The sequence below is a fragment of the Homo sapiens genome, chromosome 8 (assembly GCF_000001405.40).
Source record: "Homo sapiens chromosome 8, GRCh38.p14 Primary Assembly".
Classification (NCBI taxonomy): Eukaryota; Metazoa; Chordata; class Mammalia; order Primates; family Hominidae; genus Homo; species Homo sapiens.
The window spans coordinates 99,794,430-99,817,530 of record NC_000008.11 but is presented as its reverse complement, the minus strand read 5'-3'; the positions used below and the strand labels follow the sequence as shown (position 1 = coordinate 99,817,530).

Genomic DNA, 23,101 nt, shown 5'->3' with positions numbered 1-23,101 from the left:
AGTTAAGTATATAAGGCTTCATCAATTCAGACTTCATTAACTGGAAATATGTTATCATTCAAACAGAGTAAACTATGTTGATGTTAATGGAAAGAAAATGAAGTAATTAGCTTAAACAGTACAAGAAGGAAAAAAGACTTGAAGTCAAGAAGAAATTTTGCTTTGGCCATGTTGAGTTTGCAGTATTTAAAGGACAGACATGTAGGAGTCCAGTACTCAATTAGAAATGCTGCTCAGGTGCTGGCCAGAGAAAATGTGGAGGTGGAGATAATGATTAGTGAAAGAAGAGCCTTGCAAACATGCACAAGCAGAAGATAGTTTACCTGAAAGAGAGGGTAGAAGCTCAAACCCAGAAACTGACCAATACTCCAAGGGCAGACTCGGGGTGAAAAGCTAGAAAATGGGGCCAGAGAAGAAGGGATGAAGGAGAACAGAGGTGAATCAGGGGACAGTAGTTTTGCTGAAGCCATAAGAGAAGTGCCTGCCCAGGAGGTGGCAGTGAATCTTGTCAAGTGAAGTAGAAATGGAAAAGACTGGGAATTGAAAATCATTTAGCTCTGGTAACTGAGAGGGCAATTGTGATCAATCTATTCCTTGAAGTTGATTTTCAAGGGTTTATTTCACTCTTATCTAGTAAGAAATCTCTGTATAAACAGATAATACAAAATCTTTGATGCAGATATCTAATTTTTTTTATTTTATTCAGTTTATTTATTTAGTTTTTTTTAGACAGGGTCTTGCTCTTTCGCCCAGGCTGGAGTGTAGTGGCATGATCACAGCTCACTGCAGTCTCAATCTACCAGGCTCAAGCAATCCTCCCACCTCAGCCTCTAGAGTAGCTGGGTCTACAGGGAATGCACCACCCCACCTCGCTAACTTTTGTGTTTTTTTGTAGGATGGGGTTTCAGTGTTGCCTAGGCTGGTCTCAAACTCCTGAGCTCAAGTAATCTTCACACCCCAGCCTCCCAAAATGCTGGGATTACAAGCATGAGCTACTGTGCCTGGCCTAAACTGTGTAAGTTTTATCTTTATAAACACACAGATTTATCCACTAAACCTATGGGTTATTCAACTTTACACCCAGGTAAGAGAGTATAGTTCATAGTAGGTATTAAGAAATGGGGGTCTTGGCCAGGTGCGGTGGTTCACGCCTGTAATCCCAGCAGTTTGGGAGGCCAAGGCAGGTGGATCACCTGAGGTCGGGAGTTCGAGACCAGCCTGACCAACATGGAGAAACCCTGTCTCTACTAAAAATACAAAATTAGCTGGGCATGGTGGCACATGCCTGTAATCCCAGCTACTCAGGAGGCTGAGGCAGGAGAATCACTTGAACCTGGCAGGTGGAGGTTGCGGTGAGCCGAGATCACACCATTGCACTCCAGCCTGGGCAACAAGAGTAAAACTCCGTCTAAAAAAAAAAAAGAGAGAGAGAGAGAGAAAACAAATGGGGGGCCTGGTAGAGGCCAAGGTTAGGAGTTTGAGACTAGCCTGGGCAACATGGCAAGATCCCATCTATACAAAAAATTTAAAAATTAGCTAGGTATGGTGGTGTATGCCTGTAGTCACAGCTACTTGGGAGGCTGAGGCAGGAGTATCACTCGAGCCCAGGAGTTCAAGGCTGCAGTGAACTGTAATTGCACCACTGTACTCCACCCTGGGTGACAGAGCAAGACCCTATTTCTACAAAAAACAACAAATGTTTTCTTAAATTGGTTGAAATTGAAAATATAATGCAAAATTTAATACGGTGGTGAATTCTTTCACAAAGCAAATCCTTCTGTAATATGAATATTCACCATGATTGGAGAAAATAGGACTTTCACATACTGAATTTCCTATTTGTAATATTTTTCCAGAATAACACACACACACATACACAGTATATGTACAAGTCTAAGCATATGATATTTAATTTTAGTATGTCAACTTGATTGGGTCATGGTATGAGCAGACATTTAGTCAAACATTATTCTGGGTGTGTGTGTGAGGGTGTTTCTGAGTGAGATGAACATTTGGATTGGTAGACTGAGTAAAGCAGATTGTCTTCCCCACCATGGGTGGGCTTCATCTAACCAAATGAAGACCCAATCGAAGGAAAAGGCTAAGTAAGAGGAAACTCATTTTGCCTGACTGCTTGAGCTAGGGCATTGGTCTTTTCTGGCCTTTGGACTTGGAATGAAGCATCAGCTCTTCTTGGGTCTTGAACTTGCCAGACTTTGGACTGGAACTTACACTATTCGCTCTCCTGGTTCTCTGGCCTTTGTAATCAGATGGGAGCTACACATTGGCTCTCCTGGGTCTGCAGCTTGCTGACTGCAGATCTTGGGACTTCTCTAAGATTATGTCATGTTTCATAATCACGAGTCAATTTATAATAAATCATTCTTTTCCCACACACCCATGCATGTACATGTGTGCATGCATGGGTGTGCACACACACACCCCCTCATCAGTGCGGTTTTTCTGGAGAACACATTCTCACAGCAACCTTATAAAGTAGGTGCTACTGTGACTCCCCATCTTAACAGAGAGAAAATTTAACAGAGATATTTAATAACTTGCTTGGTGTTACCCAGTAAGTCTGGCCCAGAGTTTGTTGATCATCACCCTGATAGTCTGTCTCTCATAAAATTAATATCTACTCATTAAGAAAAGTTAGAAACCATAAAAAAGAAAGTAAGGGCTGCTCTTTATAACATAAATGTGTCAGACACCATTGCTTCTCTTCCCAATAGCTGTTCTCTCCTTTCCTCTTATTGTTAAAAACCCTCACTTGATTTGGTTAGGTATCAAAAGGCAGCAAAGTACTCAGGGAAGGTAGACACCTCCCTTGGCCCCCAGTGGCTGTATCATGATTGGTACAAGCCAATCCTGTTAATTCCATTCTCCTTTTGCCATCGATCAGGGTAAACATGGAACTCTGGTTTGGCTAATAATATGAGAAGGTAAGACTGGTAAAAGGCTCTAGGAAAGATATTACTCCTTGATAATAAGGGAGACAGTTTGAGAAGAGAAGCCCTTCTTTTGTGTCACAGAAGCTGTTATCAGAGGATGTATACAGCTTTAATGCCACCTGAGACCAGGCAGGCAAATCTAAGAGGATGACAGAGAAGCAAATACAACACTGGGTTGCTTAGCCAATACTGAACCAGCCTTCTTCCTCCTCGTTATGTGAAACAATAAACATAAAATAGAATAGTATCTGCCTCATTAACTTGCTATGAAGATTAACAAGCATATTTTGTAACTTCAAACTGAAAGCGTCCTAACTGATACATTTTCCTATGTCATCAAGAGTTCTCTGTAACCATCAATTTTAATGAACTATTATTTACACCAATAAATATGAATAACTATTTATAAATGAACTATTATTATTATCACTATTTTTAGATGGGGGTCTTGCTCTGTCACCCAAGGTGGAATGCAGTGGCAAGATTTCAGCTCACTGCAGCCTTGAACTCCTCGGCTCAAGGGATCTTCTTGCCTCAGCCTCCTAAGTAGCTTGGACTACAGGCACATGCCACCATGCCTGGCTAATGTATTTTATTTTATGTTTTGTAGAGATAGGGTCTTGCTATGTTGACCACGCTGGTCTCAAACCCCTGGGCTCAAGTGATTCTCCTGCCTCAGCCTCCCAAAGTGCTGGGATCATAGGCATAAGCCACTACGCTGGGATGAACTATTATTTAATCAAAAGAAACCTGCTAGATTGAGGAACCAAAAATTAAATGTCATTGTTGTTTTAATTTGCATTATTTGAATGGTGAGGTTTAGATTTTCTCATTTATTTCTCAACTATCTGCTTATTTGAATTTTCTTTAGAAGGAGCACATCTGTAAAACCAAGCTGTGCTGAACAGTTGTATTTCCCCTAGATACTCTAGCCATCATAATCTTTTAAAACTATGCTTTCACAATAACAAACCATAAAAGTCAACTGAACTATGATCCTAAATTAGGAAGCAAACTTTTCTTTAGCATATGCTAGGGGTTACTAGACACTCATGATAAGTCTTATGATGCCATAGCATTGCCTAACTTGAAATAAACATTTGAAAACTCTGAAGCATTATTTAACTCTGTTATTCTTGATGTGCCCAAGCCTGGCAATATATGCACATGGCTCTTGCTTCAGAACCTTTGGACCCCAGGAGATTTAGAAGAGAATTTGGCTGTTTCTCAGAGAAACCACAGAATCTCCACAACCATCTGGGACTCACTTTGTTTAAAGACAAAGATCCTCTTGGTGGGTTTTTATAGTCTCATTTTCAACTAAAAAGCCTGTTAAATAGGCTTTCAAATTTGATAAAAGAAAATTCTTAAAAGTGGCCAGGGAGGGAAGGCTACTTTAGATGAAAGAAAATCCAAAAATGGTCACTCAGTGGAGTAGTGTGCTTGCACGGCTGTTCCAGGGTTAGGCTCAGGAGAGCTCTATCTGCTTTTCTTCAAAGTGGCAAAACTTACAATGCCTTTATTTTGAAAATTATGGTTAGAATTTCAAGATTAATTTATCAGTTGAAGACAGCTACTTAATTTTTTTAAATGCACGGTTTCTCTTTAATACACATTTCCAGGTTTCACACTAATTCCCCTCCTTCCCCAAAGCCACAAAGATGTGTATTGAAGATTTCCACATATGATTTTACTTAGCAGGTTTCAGAACTCTTATTAGATCAGTGCCAAGAAGAATAGTGATATTGAAGAATAACTCCAGAGCACCAGATGCACTGGAAAACGATATCTTAAACATGATTAAAAGTATGTGTATAAAGACACCATTATACATACATACATGTGTACATTTGAGATTTTAGAGTAGTAAAGGTTTCTTCAACAAAAAGATGGGAAACATGGAAGCAAATGTGTGTACATAGTAGTTGTAGAACATACAAAGTTCCCACAAAATTTTCTGTGGTCAATTTTCATTCAATTGAGGGAAATGAGAGGGGTATAAGAAATGCAGAGCACAGATAACCCAGCATCAATGTTAAGAAAAGAGCTTTAGCCAATTCTCCATTATCCAGGGGGTGTTAAGGTGCATCAGGGATCTGCATATACTCACCTCCCCAAATGGGCCCTGGTAATTAGGCAGCTGCAGTTTATTGCAAATTTCCAGGCCCAGGTGGGGTAGAAGGAAAGAAGCCAAGATGTGAGGGAGACAAGAATCCACAAAGCTCTTCTGAAGCTTGGTTCCCTTCTTCCTTCCCAACCTTGCCAATTGAGGAAATCCTACGTCTCTGATGTACTTTAACCAGAACAAATCTGAACGCTAAACTACCCTGACAGCAAAAATTAAATCCAATTGAAAAAGACATTTAACATTTTTGCTTGTGGGTGTGTGTATCTGAGTGAGTGAGGGGGCAGGGAAGAGGTAAAACTGCCAGACATTTTTAGAAATGTATTTTTCAAATAACCAACTTTTATGACATTTGGTAGGTATACTGTTGCGATGTGTAATATTTGTGCAGGAACACTGTATATATTAATTTATCCCTGAAATTTAACATTGTTTCTTGAAAATATATAGTATCTATTCAAGAATGAGTCACTATTGTTATAATACAAAACCGTCCAACTTAGTGTTACTCATGCCTGATAACATTTCATTAGAGTAATTTTAAATATGGTATATAGGGCTATGGCAGGAGGGCAGGCACGTTGTAAGCATTTTACATACACAAACTCAGTTAATCCTCACACTAACTTCCTGAGGAGGGCACTATTACTATCCTCATTTTACAGATGAGGAAATTGATTCACAGAGTTTAAATGACTTTCTGAAGATCACACAGCTAGCAAGCGGATACAGCCAAGTTGCCTATGATCTTGACTACGAGGACATACCATTAAAACCATTTCTCTATGGAGGGACCCTGCCATTTCAGTAACTGATAAATGTTCTAGCAGCCACACTAAAATGAGCTGAACTACCTGGGAAAGTTTAGACTGGAGCTATAGTAGTCAAATTGTGGTCCCTGGACCAGCAGCATCAGCAGCACCTGGGAACTTGTTAGAAATGCAAATTACAGACCACACCCAATCTGAAACTCTGGGGTTGGGACCCAGCAATCTGTGTTTTAACAAGCCCTCCAGGGGATTCTGATGCATACTCAAATTTGAGAAGGCCTAGAGAGAAGAAAACCAAGGGGAAACACAATAGCTTCCCTTATGTTTTTGAAGGGCTATAATGTAGAGGAGAGGTGACTTGTGGAGTTCTCACAAGTTTTGCGCTTGTTGTATATGCCTCATAGTTCTAGGGAATGGGGAAAGGTGGTGGAATGGTGAAAGATTTTTGGTTCGAAATCAGGAAGAAAACTTAGCTGGTGGTAGCAAACAGAAAGGGCTGCTGTGTGAGGGAATGAGCCTCTTGTCATCTGAACTATTCAAAGAGGCTGGATGACCTTTTCTCAGACATATTACTCAATGGGAAGGTGGGTAAGACATTCTTGAAAGACCATGAGTGACAGAATCAGAAAACCAGTATACACTTACTGGGCAGATATTCATTGACAGCAGATTCATGTAAGAGTGTTCTGAGGGCAGATGGGAGTTAGTGACACTCCTTGTTCTCTTTGGCTCAATGCTCACACTAGTAGGCCGGTCCCTGCAGGAATCCTTCAGTAAGACTCATTTGTCCCACATTTGTCTCTTCGTTTATGCTATACTGTCTACTTGGAATGCTCTCTCTTAATCCAAATTCTACATATTTTCCAAAGCCCAGCTCAAGTCATATCTTCTCAGTGAAACCTCTAAATTCCCTTTACACTTACTGTCAGTTGACAACATTGTTGGGCTTACATAAAATTGCAATTTAAAAGCAAAGACTGTTTCACATACTTGGTGTTTTCCATTTTACTTTGTTCCACTTTAGGCAATCAATAAATATTCTGAGGAATGCTCAGTTAATTGGGAAGAGTCTTCCATGCTTCTTTTCTGAGACTCCTCTGCTAGAGTTGAGTTCTCTTTTTATTTCCGTGGCCCACAATAATAAGATCACCAAGTCCAGCTCCTTGATTAGGTGCAGACCAAGAATGCATATGGTGTGGGTCCTACTGTTCACCTCACTAGCAGCTTCCTGATTCCTCCTTGGCATGCAGCAACAGAATAGCCCCTGCTGCTCCATAGGGGAAGCTCCCCTTTTCCAGGGACTAAGTGCTGTTTCTATCATGTCCCACAAAAGCTCTGGGTAGACTGTTACAATCCAGATGTATATGTTGAAACTCTAACGACAAATCCAGTTATTATGTGTGCAGTGAAGCCAGTTTTCAGATTTTAATACTTCCTTCTTTTCTTTCTACTCTTGTCCATGCTTGAAAAACATCTTTTAGAAACCACATTTTCACATCTTAAGAACAAAAAGAAAGTGTCAGATACTTTTTTCCCTTTGCAGTCTTAGAACTTCAAAAACAGCCAAAAAGCAAGTTTTATAAAATACGTAAAAATATGTGCTGAGAGCTGAGGTTTTATATGCCAAGAGTTAGGCTGCAGTGAATTTTTACTGCAGTTAATATTAACTCCTAGGAAAAGAAAAGCTTGCTGGAGACCCAGGCCCACTCTGTCATGGGAGAGTATCACAGCACTTCCTTACAGATCATTCTCACGTGCATGAGAACCAACTCTTGGTTATCCGCTGGTGGATTATCCAGGGTTCCCACTACTCTTTGCTTCTTTTCCTTCTCAATAAAGGACTTTTGGCTATTTCACAGCTCATTAGCACCTCCACCAGAAGGTAGGTGGTGACAGGGAGAAGAGGTGAAACTAAAATCAGTAAATTTTACTGCTTGTTAGCAGCTCTTGTAAAAGAAGTGGGACAAAGGGTTTGAAGCCATCATCATTGTCAGGATCATAGATAAGCATTTATTAAATGCTCACATGCATGGTAGTAGTAGATATAACTAGGCATAACCACTGTGATTTTAAAAAAATTATTAATTATTTTCATCTCCATTACACTGAATAATTAAGAGGTGTCTGGGTCATGAACACAAAGAAACTTACCTGTTTTTGTACTCCATTGAGTTGCTGAACCTTGATGATGAGAGAAGCAGTTCGACCCCTGTACTGAATTGTTCTAATAAAAGTCCCGGCATGGTCCACACTGAAAGGCTCTGACCAACGCCAGTTGCCCCAACCTTCAATACAGATGTGTAACAGCTGGAGAAAAAAACAATAATCGTCATAATGCCAAACGTGCCAACAAAAACCTAGTCCTAAAATGAAAGTCTCATTGCTGGAAAACCTTTCCATTTGTAATATTTTGCATCTGTTTTCTTTCTAACCTGCATTATTCATCCACTTCCAACTTATTCCACCAGGCTAAGAATAGCAAATATGTCACATAGAGTCAATGTGGTTTTTCAGATCACATTTTAAACCTTCTTAAAAATAATTTTCCTATCAAATGGTAAAAGGCCTGCTGAACATTTGAGAAAAGATCATTTCATTCATCTGGAGGACAAAAAGGTTGAAGCGTGAGATCAAAGAACCTTGGTATTGGCTGACGGTTTTTTCCTTCTTATGGCTAGACAGTAATGAAAGCTAAATTTGGTTTGTGGGTTTTTTTTTTAATCATCAATTGTCATACCTTTTTTCTTTTGATAAAGAACAAAATAGCAGTTTGAAGATGCAATTCATTTAATATACTTTCCTTATGAGATCACAGATATATCAAATTAGAAATACCCTCAACATTTTAAATGTAAGATATGATGTATTTGTTCTTTTTTTTTTTTGTTATGTACTTATTGTAACATTTACCAACTGAGCCTCCTGATACATATTTATATTTATTCATGTAGCATTGCCATGTCTGGTCATGTTTGGATTTGTTTTGGGGTCATATATGTCCTATTTCTACTCTTACCCACTAACTGCAGCTAAGAAAATCAGTTTAACTATATGAGTATTCCAAAAAATAATAATAATTAGTACTTTTGTAGGAAACAGGTTTAAATGAAAACAACGTTCTATGATTTGTAAGTACAAGGAAAGACAACTGACTTTTTTTTTTTTTTTTTTTTGAGTCTCGCTCTGTTGCCAGGCTGGAGTGCAGTGACACGATCTCAGCTCACTGCAACCTCCACGTCCTGGGTTCAAGCGATTCTCTTGCCTCAGCCTCCCGAGTAGCTGGGACTACAGGTGTGCCACCACGACTGGCTAATTTTTGTATTTTTAGTAGAGATGAGGTTTCACCATGTTGGCCAGGCTGGTCTCGATCTCTTGACCTCAAGATCGCTTGCCTCGGCCTCCCAAAGTGCTAGGATTACAGGCGTGAGCCACTGCACCTGGCTGAAAACTGATATTTTAAGAAAGATATATTTATATCATATGCAAACAATTTAAATCTTTCTTTCATATCACATATAATTTTTTAACAGAGCTAACCAAAGGTAAATCTCATGAAAAACTCCCAATTAGTAGACAGAATAAAACTTTGAAAACCTCCTGTAAGACTATCATAAAAGGCCCTAATAATAAATACATTAAGGATTTACATGGAAATTGCCATAATATTAAATGTCTTGGTGGAAGCAGGTTAGTTTTTAGTTTCAGCCTTAGGAGGAGTCCTGATAACATGCTTAAATTTAAAAAATTCCCAAGGTCATCACAACATACGTTTTCGATGTTAAGATAGGGCTTTTTTTTTTTTTTTTTTAAATCTGAATACATTATTTTTAAAAATCTCCTAACTCATCTCCCTGCTGTTAATATGGCCTCACTCAAGTTCTTCCTCCACGCACTGCCAGTGATCTTGTGATAGGAAAATGCTATCAGTTAGGTGACTTCTAAAAAAGGCTAACAGCTAAGAAAACACACGTGTGCGTACACACACACACACACACACACACACAAACACACCCTGGATAGTAAATACCTTTAGGGAAAATATGGTCTTATATATACTCTACAACATAAAAGTACCAGAATATCTTTGATGTTTAAATGTTAGTAACAGAGAAAAAAAGAAAAATAGCAGTGTTGGGAACCCTTTCAGTTTTTTATAGCAGCAACTGGGAATCAAGCTCAGGGTACACACAAAACTAAAAGAAATAAGAAAGTTGTTTTCTTTGGACAGACTAGTAGCTAGAAATGACAAAAAAAAAAAAATAATGAGGCAAGGTACTTAAGATCAAGCTCAGCTACATTTTTCCTGAACATTTCATAGACTCTAGAGAAAGTTTTAATGTACACAATGTAATTTTAAGTGAGGAATGTTCACATTTGCATATGAGCTCAGTTTTAGATAGCTGCTCACTCTGTGTACACAGCTTTTAAAGACTGGATGTCACCAAGGAATATGCTGTCAGGTTTTGCTTGGCAGCTATTTGTTCTCAGAATGTTGGCACAGATATTTTCTTTGAATTATGAAAATTCAGATATGTTTGGATTTAGTTCACACAGGAAAATTAAGTGGGAGAAAAGCATTTGTAACACTTCTTCCCATATGCATAATCAATGGAACATTTGTAATGTTTGGTCTACTGTTAAAAAACATCTAAATATCATTGGCAATTAGATGCATATAATTCATTAGGAAAGGAACTACATTCTTGAGAGAAACCAACAAAAAGAAATTCAGGAGGCCTAGCAGTACTTCAGTTTTCCTTCCCATGGTGTAATCACCCCTGCCTGGGAACCCGCGGCACTGGATTTGAGCACTGGATGGCAGTGAGTGCTCAGATATGCACAGACACCTAGCTAACGTGAGAGGTTTTGTTCTTGTTGGACCCACTGACTAAATTTCACTGCTACAGATACTGTAAGTCTCCATTTAGTAACAAATACTTGCATACCTATTTTTATTTCTATACAGAAGGAAGCATAAAATCAGGCACAAAAAAATGTGACATTTGTGTTAGATCACCTGATTCAAATGAGATTTCGATCATTATCCAACACATTTTCATTACTCAAGTACTATAAGGAAGGTAATATGCTAGGCACTATGGAGGAAATATAGAGGAAGAGATATGTTCTTTGCCCCACAAGGAGCTTATGATCACATAGGGAAAATAAGGCAAGAACAAATAACTAACATGAAGCAGTCAGGAAAGGAGAGGAGCAGTCACATAGTAGTCCAGTTAAGGAAGGGTCTGGATCAGGTTGCTGTGATTAAGAAAACATTGGGAAGCAGCTGGGTCTCAGAGTTTGGGTAGGATTTCAACTGGCAAAGATGATAGTTCCTTCCCATGCCAAAAAGACAATGTGAGATGTGCAAAGTAGTACACATGCTCGGGACAAGGTTAACCATCTCAACTGGCGAGAGAAAAGGGAACGTGGATAAAGGGTTGGAGGATAAGGTTAAATACATAGATTTAGATTGTGGCTGGCACTGATTTACTAAACTAAGGAATTTGCACTTTATGCAGGAATTAGTGGATAGTCACTGATATCTTCCCTATAAGTGAGCAATGTGCTGACAAAGAGTGAGAGCACGTGGAGAGGCAGGAAGACTGCAGGAGTTGCATGAGGGGCAACGTGGGCTAGAAATACAGGGGAGAGGAAAGCAATGGGCTTCACAGAAAATAACTATCCCTTCTGCCTGAAGCCCAGGGCATTTTTGTGTTCTTTTATCAATTTGGAAATTTTCTTTCACCTCTTTTCTATTAAGATTTTCCTTCCTTACTTCCCCTACCATCATTCAATCTATCCAGGCTTTTCAGTCTCTTTGGTCTACTTAGATAGTGTCTAATATTTTCCACGGTGGGGGGAAAAGTCAAACAGGAACTATTCTTGTTGGAAGTTTTCGATGACAACTAAAACTAAGCAATAAGGCAGGTTGTATAGTGGCCACACTCGATGGAAGGTCCCAAGAGAGTACATTTTCTTTTTTTCCAGCAGACCCCCAGAGCTGCGCTGGCAGCCAGACTAAATTCATAGTTTTCCCATTGAAGACCTCAGATGGAAGCATATACAGTTTTCAACTCATTTTTTTTCTATACAAAATAAAACTTAAAACAGAATTACTGATCAGGGAATTGGGGATCAGCCCTGAGGACCACCTACAGTTTTGTCCAAAGGGAGAATTCCTGAATTGATATATTTAAGAGGAAAGAAAAATAAGATAAAATCTAGGAAAACAGAGTACACCAAAGAAGAGAAAGTGGATGGTTAAATAAAAAATGTTAAACTGCATCTTAAAACATAAATGATAAAGGTACCAAATACTTTTTTGTGAAGTTACATATTTCACTATTCATTTTAAAACTACTGTCAAGATTTTTTCTACTTCAATAATCACAAATTAAAATTTTATCTTCACACTCATTTGTGTATTTTTTTTTTTGCATTTTATAGTAATTTACCCTACAGTAATACGTAATGTTCTAAACAGAAACTGGAGATTTAAACAACTTCAAAAAATGTCCCAATCCATTGTATTCATTGTAGAAATTTTAAGAGTTCTTAAAAATTAACATGCAATCCAAGTGAAATAAACTACTGTATATATATATATATATTCTGGTAATATATTTTTATATATTATTTATATATCAAAACTTAGGCACCATTTATTTTATTATGTTTTAGAGATAGAGTCAACTCTATTGCCCAGACTGGAGTGCAGTGGTGTCATCATAGCTCACTGCAACCTTGAAATCCTGACCCCTCAAGTGATCTTCCTGCCTCAGCCTCCCGAGTAGCTAGGACTATAGGTATATGCCACCATGCCTGGCTTTTTCAAATTTTTCTATTTTTTGTAAAGATGAGGTCTTGTTATTTTGCCCAGGGTGGTCTTGAACTCCTGGCCTCAATCAATTCTTCCCCCTTGGCCTCCCAAAGTGCTAGGATTACAGGTATGAGCTATTGAACCCGGCCCATTTATTTTATAAACTTCTAAACTCATCGTAATATCCCAAGAGCCTAGTGTATGGCAGGCATTCAATAAATATTTGTTGAATAAATAAATCAAGATTAATACAAAATAACCAACAGTAAATATCTTAAAATGTCAGTGGTGATATTTGTTCATAAAATGGTATCACAGAATTAGTATGAGTGCCTCCTGGGGCCAGAGACTGCAGTCACTCCGTCCCCAATTCAGTCCCCAGTTGCGGTCCCCAGGCAATTACTATACCAAACAGGATGTGCCAGATACTTGATAGGAGGTTGGCCATATGCCCAAATCCTGGTGAATGTGGTCACCCTGCCTCCTATTTTCTGCAGACTAAGACATGGACACTGGGTACTGTGCCTGGGCCCACTCAATCCAGATCATGAAGGCAGAAAAAACTGCAGCCAGCAAGTGCTGCCAGCCATCAGCCAAGCCATTCTACAACTCCGAGATCGAATTCCTGCTGCCTCATGGCATCCTGCGTCGCCAGCACAAGCCAAGCTTCAACACCACGAGGCCCAACACCTTCTTTTAGGTGCTGGGCCCTCTCACCCCAGGTCTGTCCAAATAAACTCAAGAATGTCGAAACAAAACCCAAACCAAAATGAGTATTAAATCAAGATATTTACAAGAGTTTCCTATTTTGAATGATCTTTCAACACAGATTTGTCTTACAGGGATAATAATATTAGATTAAACGCCAAGTCAGTGTAATCCCTCAGATTCATAATTCAGATACTGCAGTACTGATATTAAAATATCAAGTAGGCCCAAAATGATACAATAGGTGAGCATCATGAGTAAAAATTAAGTTAAAATACTAAAATAATTCTTGTCTATCCAAAATACTCTCTGGAAAGTCAATTGAATCGAAATTAAATCACTTGCTTGGAATACATGAGTCTAAGTGGAACTGATAGTACATTCCACACTACTAAATTAGCATAAAAATGAAATATGTTGCTTATTATTGCTTTTTCAAGGAATTTGAATTTCAGGATGTTCAACGTTATCTGAAATAATGCCAAAAACTAAGTAGAAAAATTTCTAGGTAATGACTAATGCTTGGTGTCAATTCAATGCTGAAACTTTTAATGCTAAAATTCTGAGGGCCCTGCATATCCTTTCACATTTATAGAATATAATTTCCCACCTAAAAGAGTAAGTTTAAATAAATACAACTGAATTTTATTTTTGGACCCTTTGATGTAGTTTGTTTTGGTAGGAAAAAGAAAAAGAGAAAGTAAGCTCAACTGAGAAAGCCTTTCTAAATCATTCAGGGTGTGATATAATGGAGGCTGCATTGTCGTGATATAAGTGTTGGCTATTCTTCCACAAACTATGGGTGCTGTAAGTTCTCTCTCAAGATTATCTGAATTAACTGAAGGCCACAAATACTGTGCAATTAGCATGAAACAACCTCTTACAATAGAGGGAAACCTGACACATTCATAAAAAGCTGGTTGGAATAAAAATTGTGGCTGAAAGGTAATCCTTATATAAAAAAATCTTACTTGTAATACCTATTGATGCATCAATTCTATGAAATAATCTATCCTAAGGTAATAATTACAGATGTGTGTAAAGAATGTATCTAGATGTATGTTTATCCCAGTGCTATTTTAATAAAAATTTGGCAGCATTAGGAAATTGGTCAAATAACACAGTAAAAATAAAAACAGCTTTCCTTTATTAGACATTATGTGTCAAGCACTGGGCTAAGTGATTTTTAATATTACTTATTCCTTAAAACAATCTTGTAAGGTAGACAGATGAAAAAACAAATGGAGGTACACAGAGGCTGAGTGATTTCTTCAGGGCCAGAGTGTTGGGAAGGGAAAGATAAAAGATCTGAAATTACTTAGAGCCTCTATTCAAAACTATACTTACACTGTAGAGCACTTTCAAATGACTGAAAAACAGTCATAGCAGGAAAACATGTTAATGCTATCAGTTAACAACAGATTAATTGAAAAACACACATTACAAAAAGGTATGGGCAGTACACCCCATTTTTGTAAAACAAATAAACAAAAAGTATGTATACCTATTCCAAAGGAAGAAAAAGGCTAGAAATAAGCCATAATGCTAACAGTGGTTATTTTAGGGTTATAGGATTATGCATTTTAAGTTTCCTTTTTTCCATGTGTGTTTTGTGTGCTTCCTCAGGTAATTTCCAAATTTTGTATTACAACTATGTCTTATTTGGCAATCAGACAAAAATGTTATTAAAATAAAAAAAATGTCTAATAGGATGCATACAGAGGTCACATTTTTAGGTAAAAAGAAATTACACATTTCTATTTTAAAAATTCAAGTTCAACCTCCTAATGAAAGCCAAATTTTCCCAACTTGCCCTCTTGGCACTTTGCCAAGAGGGTGACATGATCTTCAGTTCATCTCTGTAGTCTCCATAATTCCTAGCACAGAGTCTGGCTTGCTATATTGCTATATTACATATTCACATGATTCTTAGGAGCCATTTAATGCAATTATGTGAGCTTTTTTCCCTAGGGCCACAGCTTGTTTTTTTTTTTTTTATTTGAGACTGGGTTTCCCTTTATTGCCCAGACTTGAGTGTAGTGGCACGATCATGACTCACTGTAGCCTCAACCTCCTGGGCTCAAGTGATCCTCCCACCTCAGCCTTCTGAGTAGTTGGGACTACAGGCATGCACCATAATGCCCGACTAATTTTTGTATCTTTTGTAGAGATAGTGTTTTGCCGTGTTGCCCAGGCTGCTCTTGAACTTCTGAACTCAAGCAATCTGCCCACCTTTGCCTCCCCAAGTACTGGAACTGCAGACATGCACCACTGTACCTGGCTCAATTTGGCAAGTATTTTTAAGGATTTACAGCTATTAAATGTTTACTATAAGCCAACTAACTGTACTACACATGGTAGGTACAGAAAAGAACTAGACAGTACACTTGGGCTGAAAATGCTTACAATATAGTAGGATAAACAGATATTCAGTAAGAATAATTACACTGCAAAATGTTTTTAGAGTAAGAAAAACATAGGGCTTCTGAGGTGTTCTGCTTGGGGAAGTTAAAAGTTGGACCAGAGAATGTATTTTACTTACTCCCCAAAATAAGAAAGACATGTTGAAATAGAACAAAAGATGACAGTAATGTTACTTCCGATAAACAAAAGTAGGTGACAACCTAACCTGTCATGTGACAACCAGGGAGGGAGTAGTTCTTTCTGCACAAAATTTGTGTCTACAAAGCATACCGACTGTGTTAGAAACAAAGACAAGCCATAAATGCAGCAAGCTATGGCTTCAAACTATTTGTGAAAACAACTCCTGGTCATTTGTTTTGTCAACAGAATTTAGAAAATTAACTTTCTATTATCAACTTGTCAGCTTACTTTCCTCTAATAGTTTTGATTGTAACCCAAATGGAGTCACTGAATATTGATTTTGGAAAGAAGGAGTCACTCTGGAATAAAAAAATCATTGTTTTAGGAGGTCAAATCTTGAGACAGAGGGTGGGAGAGAGATATAGGAAGGAAGGGTGAAGAGAAAGTGAACTCTTAGGTCAGTAACTGCTATTTCCTCTCAGAGCATCAATCATCAATAAACACCAGGGATTGATACGTGAGAGACAATGGAACAAAGTAACTGACAAGAAAGTCACTGTTTGGCTGTTTGAAATAATGCTACTCATATGTTATATCTATATTCTTCATAGCTTTAAAACAGTGCATTGTGTCATTTCATCATATACTTTGTAATAGTCATTTGAATTTCCCTGGGTAAGTCAGGGTATCAAATTTCACATGTTTCTAGCAAACATTAAGGCTTAATCCATGTTTCAACATACCTATAATCAAGCCATAGAATCTTTTTATTATTTTTCACAAATAACTATAAACACAACTCTAAATTCAAGAATTTATTTATGGATTTTTATTGTTCAGGAATTTTCTCTGTTCAATCTCTGGCTGAAGTTTACATATGTAAAATAACCTAAAAAAAGAAAAGTGGGGAAAATAGTAGCATTTTTCATTTAAATTATTTTCTACAAAACAATGAGATGCTTCATGGGTATTCTGGGCTAAAAAAAAATTAAATCTAAGTGAACTAAATTAGGGAAAACTAATATACTGCATAAACATTTTTGCAAAAAGATTTAATGAGAAAGATGTTTCATGCATTAAAATATTTCATTTTTAAATTTTATGCATAACTTTTTTTGACCATTTCAATCATGAAATCAGATATAAATACAGTTAAAAAAGTATGAAATGATAAATAGGCTTGTTTTAAATAGGTCATTTCAACATTATACATATCTATTGTTTTCATTCTTCTAAAGGCTTCCCTATAAATGATACGTGACTGAAAAAACATGAGCTGTGATATTAACAGCTGCCTTAAGTCTAGAATTGTGTGACAGTCCTTAAGACTGTTTACCCTTGGTACCACCACAAAGGGTTGAAAAGCACAGATTCAAAGAACTTTGATATATATGTACATACAGAAGAGGAGGGACTGTCTATAAAATCTGAAATAATTCACATTTTCTTTTTTTAAAAATAAGTAAAATAAATACGACTTTGATTGCTTAAGTTATGTCAACAACCAGGAGATTCTGATGCTATGCAGACAAACTCTTAACAGAATGATAGTCAATGGTGATCATGCATTTGGTTAGACCCAATTCTTCAGTGGGAGAGTTAACAGTATGTTAGAAGGAAATGATGATGAATAATTTAGGTGAGCTGAGAAATGGGAGCAACAAGATAAGAAATTGGAGAGGCTGTCTGTTAGTCATTCGGATTTGAATAAATATTCTGGGAGTCAAATTGTCAGGTTTTGTTTGTTTGAAAATCAATTTTGACAAAATACAAACAATAGAGAAACCTACCTAAAGTTTGAATAAAAACTTTCTTTTAAACTGTTCTCAGATGTAACATTCACTATTCAGTAAAATTCAGTTTAATGTAAAATAGAAGACATGCCAACACATGTCCTAAGAAAAGATCAAGTGATTTTTACATAAACTTCATTTTTTAGTCATCATGGCAATGTGGACAACTGTAATTATCTTTAATTTTTAATTAGAAAAAAGAAGTCAATAGATGGATATAAGAGAAATCCAAAATTTTTACAGTTATTTATTTTCATTTAACTAAACTGCCTTGCTGTACTAAGAAAACATTTTTGTAAAGGTTAAATAAAGTATTTCATGGCAACCGCTGCTTCTTAGTGCCTGTATAACAAGAAATATGAGCCAGCCAAAGTTGTGCAAGTTGGTTTTCTTTCCCAGTAAGGGAATGTGGTATCTAAGACCTTGTCCTAACTCATTTTATCCCCAAGTGTAAGTCAAGCAAGTCAAACATGAACTAATGCCTGAAGGGAAGTCCCTGACTCCAGAAGTATGGATTATTTCACATTTATCTTAAAATCTGCTCTCAGAGTTCTTAAAATTCACTAACTTGGCAAGTCCGGAATTATCATGAGAAATGAAATAATTTTATAACTATGAAGTCATCCAACATTCCATGCATCTGACACTCAGTGGGCTTGGCCATGTCCTGGGCATTATTCTGACCTTTAAATAACAAGCTCTTCAATATTCTGGAAATAATTTAAAAGCACGGAAATAATAAGTGCCACAGTATAATAGGTATGCCATTGTCTCTGAGTTAATGCTTTTGTTACACAGACTCATGGTAACAGGTTATGATTAAAGACAACAACATTATGTATGCTGAAATCTTTATAACATTCTTAATCAGTATTTCCCATTACTTAAAAATGGCAAAATACCATGCTTTAATAGGCCAGCTGCATTACCTTTCTCCAAGTACTCTGTATTAAAATTCACATTTAAAATTAGCTCAGTAAAGGACCTTTATGTTTAGACATCAAGAATTTACATTTGCAGAGCACTGGCTTGTGAAAAGGCTTTGAGTGTCTTGTAAAAAGCTTAAGAAATCTTCAGTATATTTTTCTCCAAAGCTATATTTCAATATCTGAGATTTATTGCCAGGGGAGGAAGAGAGAGACCATTAGCCGCACCAGCAGCCATTCCTCTGGGCGCTTTGCACTTGAAATATCCCCATTCTCTTTCATGCAGGCTTGCAGAAAACTCCAGAAATCAGCCCTGGGACTGGATAAAGGACCCTATCACAATCCTATCTTTGCCATTTCTTGTGAAAGACTTTAAAATTCTTGAAATTGGTCATTTTATAAATTAGTTTTACAAAGAAACTTTGAAATATAAAGGAAAAGGAAAACTCAACCCTAAACTTCTGCCTCTGATTTAGGTAGAATGTATCTCCCAACAGAAAATGAAAAAAATCCAAATATGCTCTGTGCATTAAATACTTAATGACCAAAACTGCTAGGACCCCATTTACTTCTACTGGTGACTTCAAAAGGCACTGTAAGCTCCCTCAGAGAATGTAAGTTTCCTGGAATCCCTACAGACTACCTTTTTTTTTTTTTTTTTGGCTATTTCAATTACTGCTTAAAACTGAAATAAAAATGCAGTTGATGGCGGCTGGACGGTAGTTCCTGGGTACTCAAATGGAGTCAGTGTTTACAGAATATTTTGGATTAAAATGCTTGCCAGATGGTCCCAAGAAGTGTTTACCTCACTGTTGATTTTAGCTATCTTAATGTCAGCAACAATAAAAAGAAGCTTGTTACTGCCACTCGGGAGCAAAGGCATAAAATCCTTCCTCCCCAAATGGAACTGCTAGTTGCAGACAGCTGTGCCCTACACAACAATAAGGGTGATACTGTAGATTTCTGGGAAACTATTTCCACAGTTAGAGAAAGACAATATGTGGCAAATTTAACTTGTAATGACATCTACTTTAAATATATAATATTTAGTGATTACACTATATACTTTCAGTTTATGATAAACAACAAAAATTTTCATAGAATAAGCACAAAAGGCTAAACAAAAATGTGAAGAGTTAGACATACATGAAAGTTGTGGCCAATTTGAAGTATATTGCTAATCTCCTCCTGTAGCATGTTCCTATTTTATGATTTTTCATTAGAGGCCATAAGGAGGCCAAAGGGGCAGGAATGGGAAAAGGGGAGGGGTGTGTGACCAGGAGCTACTCTTAAGAGCCCAACTGAATTGACAGTATATTGAGGCATATATTTTGAGATCAGTGCCTCTTTTCTGTGTATATTAATAGTATATACAAAAGTATCCAACATTATGCAAAGAACAGTGTTGACAATTTTATTATTAAGATTTTAAATCTATGTTCTTGAGAAATCCCAAAACTTACTTATTCAATGAACATTTATTGGCTGGGTGTGGTGGTTCACTCTTGTAATCCCAGCACTTTTGGAAGCAGAGGTAGGAGGATCGCTTGAGCCCCGGAGTCAGAGGCTGTAGAGAGCTGTGGACGTGCCACTGCACTCCAGCCTGGGCCACAGAGCAAAACTCTGTCTCAAAAAAAAAAATAATAATAAAAATAAAGGAACACTTATCAGCTGTCTATTATAAGCAAGATACAGGATTAAATATTGTGGAAACAATACCTTATTCAAAGCCCTCTTTTTCTTCCCTTTCATTCTCAGCAAACATCCAATACAACCTCAACCATATTCATGTCCATCTTCATTCTCTCCCTCCTATCTCAAGGAGGAAACTATTGTGGTACATTGCAAATGGCCACAAATTCTCTGCAGCAACTCTCACCAAGATCTAGTTCCTTACTGTTTGGATCTGGCTTAACCTTGTGGCTTGCTCTGCGCAACAGAATGTAGCGGAAGTGATGCTGGGTGAATTCTGAGCCCAGGTTCAATAGGCCTTGGAGTCTCTGCTCTCATTCTCCTGGGACAGTGTTACCAGGTGAAGAAGCTTGGCTAGCTTGTTGGTGAGATCACGTGGATGAGAACCAAGACACCTGGCAAACAGCCTGCTGACCACTAAATATGTGGGTGAGGCCATTGTAGACCACCCAGCCCTGAATGACCTCCAGCTGACTTCAGCCTCCTAAGTGAGACCAGGTGAGACCCACAGAAGAACCTTTTGAGTGCACCTAGATGTCTGACCAACAGACTCACGAGCTAATAAATGGTTTTTAAGTCAATAAGTGTTGGGATGGTTTGTTAAACAGCAATAAAATTTGGTATAAACTTCTTCCCATTCAAGGTCAATCCTTCCACTCGTGATATGAATTCTTTCCTTTTCTTCCCTTCTAAGATTTTATGCCATTAGTCATTCTCTCTTCTGGATCATCAATCTCGCATTTCTTTCTTCTTCTATATTAATGTGCCTAACTCTCTTCCATTTAAAATTGTTCCTTAAACCTGTGGCTTTCTGTAGCTAACACATAATTAAGACAAAAAAAAAAAAATTCATGCTCATCATCACCACTTCGTCACTTCCCATTCACTTCTTAGCCCACTGTAATCTGGCTTTTATCCCTCTCTCTACTGAAAGTGCTTTCCTTGAGCCATCAATGATGTTCCAATCGCCAAATACAATGGTCTCTTTTTTTCAATTCTTACCTCACTCAGTTCCCTTAGGACATTTAACAACACTGATAATTCTATCCCCCTAAATATCCTTTTTGGATTTTAAAACACCATTATGTCCTGGTTTTCCTGTGACATCTTGGTTTTCCTCATAGCTCTTATTTCCCCTCAATACATTCTATTTCACAGCCCAACTCGCAAATTCTGCTACTGATCCTTTTGCAAGCTCACCTCCAAGACAGCCCCAGTAATCCTTGCCTCTTGTTATCTGTGCCTTTATGTTCCCCCCACTGAATAGGACAGATCTGTGTAGGATATTACAAATAAAACAATGAATGACTTCTGAGGCTAGGACATAAAAGATATTGTGGCTTCTGCCTTGGATCACTTGATCTGGAAGACAGCAGCTGCTATGTCATGAGATTACTCGAGCAACTCTCTGGAGAGATCCCTGTAGTGGAGTGCTGAGGCCTCCTACCAAAAGGCATGTAGGTAAGTATTTTGGAGATGGATCTTCCAGACCAGATGAGCCTTCAGAGGAGTGCAGCTCCATGTGATGTCTTGATTACAACCTTATCAGAAACGCTGAGCTGGAATCACTTAGTTAGACCATGCCCCAAATTCTTGACTAACAAGACTGTGGGATAATAAGTGCTTATTGCTTTAACTACTCAAGTTTTGGGGTAATTTTTTATACAGCAATAGGTGACTAATAGAGATTTAGTATCTGTAAATGGGATACTACTGTAACAAAAGCCTAAAATGTGGAGGAGGCTTGGAGCTGGAAAGTGAGTAAAAACTGGAAGAACTTGAGAAGGCTGTTAGTGAATGTCTACATACTTCAGAGAGATTATTAATAGAAACGTGATGGCCCTACAGGAGACTGCCAGCTACAGAGTGCGAAAAATGTTATTGGACATGGGTGGAAAGGGGATCCTTGCTATGTGGTGGCAGAAAGTTTTTCAACACTATCACCTGCAGTAACATGGAAAGTAGAAAATTTGCCTAATAAACTACATGATCTAGCTAAGTAGATTTCCAGGCAGTGTTGAAGTGCCTCCTAGCTTCTACCTGCTGCTAATATTAAAACCCACAAGGGGAGATACAAGCTTAAGGAAGGACCGTCAGATAAAAAGGAGCCAGGATTTGCTATTTTGAAAGTTCCTAGCTTTATCAGATGCAAATGATGCTAAAATCAAGAAATGGCTTCCCAGCAAAGATCAAATCCAGGACATGGTTGGAAAAGCTGGGTCTAAATATGAAGCAAATAATATGCCTGTAAAATCTTTTGAAAGACCTTAGAAAGACCTAAATTGATGGCTCAGAGAGCTAGTCAAACAAAAGGAGTTCTAAGACTCTTAAGGGTTATGTCCCTCAGTAATATCAGAAAAATCTTAAAGTAGAGAAGGGCTTATCTAAAAGATACATGGGTGTTAATTTTGTCTAATATAGTAAACCTCAGTAAGAATAAAAAGAGACCTACAAAGTTGTTTAAAGAATAATATTGGCAGAAACACTGCCAACTTAGACTGAAAGAGATAAAGACAGTACAAAATGAAAAGAGGACTCTGAACCTTCAAAATTCTACCAGCAGAAAGCAGGCTGGGAAAACTACAAGGTGCAAACAAAAGCTACTTTTCATGGAAAAGAATGGGTGACTCAGAGGCTGGAGCCATGTGCACAAAGCCACGAGCAACGGGGAGCTATTTCTAAGCAGGAGTAATACTGAGTACTAATTAAGAAACTTCCAACATTTATCTGATTGAATTTAATAATTTCTATGGACCAGAAACTCCT

General features: G+C 37.7%; 1 protein-coding gene across 2 annotated transcripts in view; it reads right to left on the bottom strand.

The window, feature by feature from the left end:
• VPS13B (vacuolar protein sorting 13 homolog B) overlaps positions 1 to 23,101 on the bottom strand; it is an 864,307-nt gene that overhangs the window by 60,050 nt on the left and 781,156 nt on the right. For both annotated transcript variants that reach the window (NM_152564.5, NM_017890.5), the window contains exon 44: positions 8,001 to 8,156. In NM_152564.5, coding sequence (NP_689777.3) covers positions 8,001 to 8,156 — 156 coding nt within the window. The remainder of the gene's footprint in view (positions 1 to 8,000; positions 8,157 to 23,101) is intronic.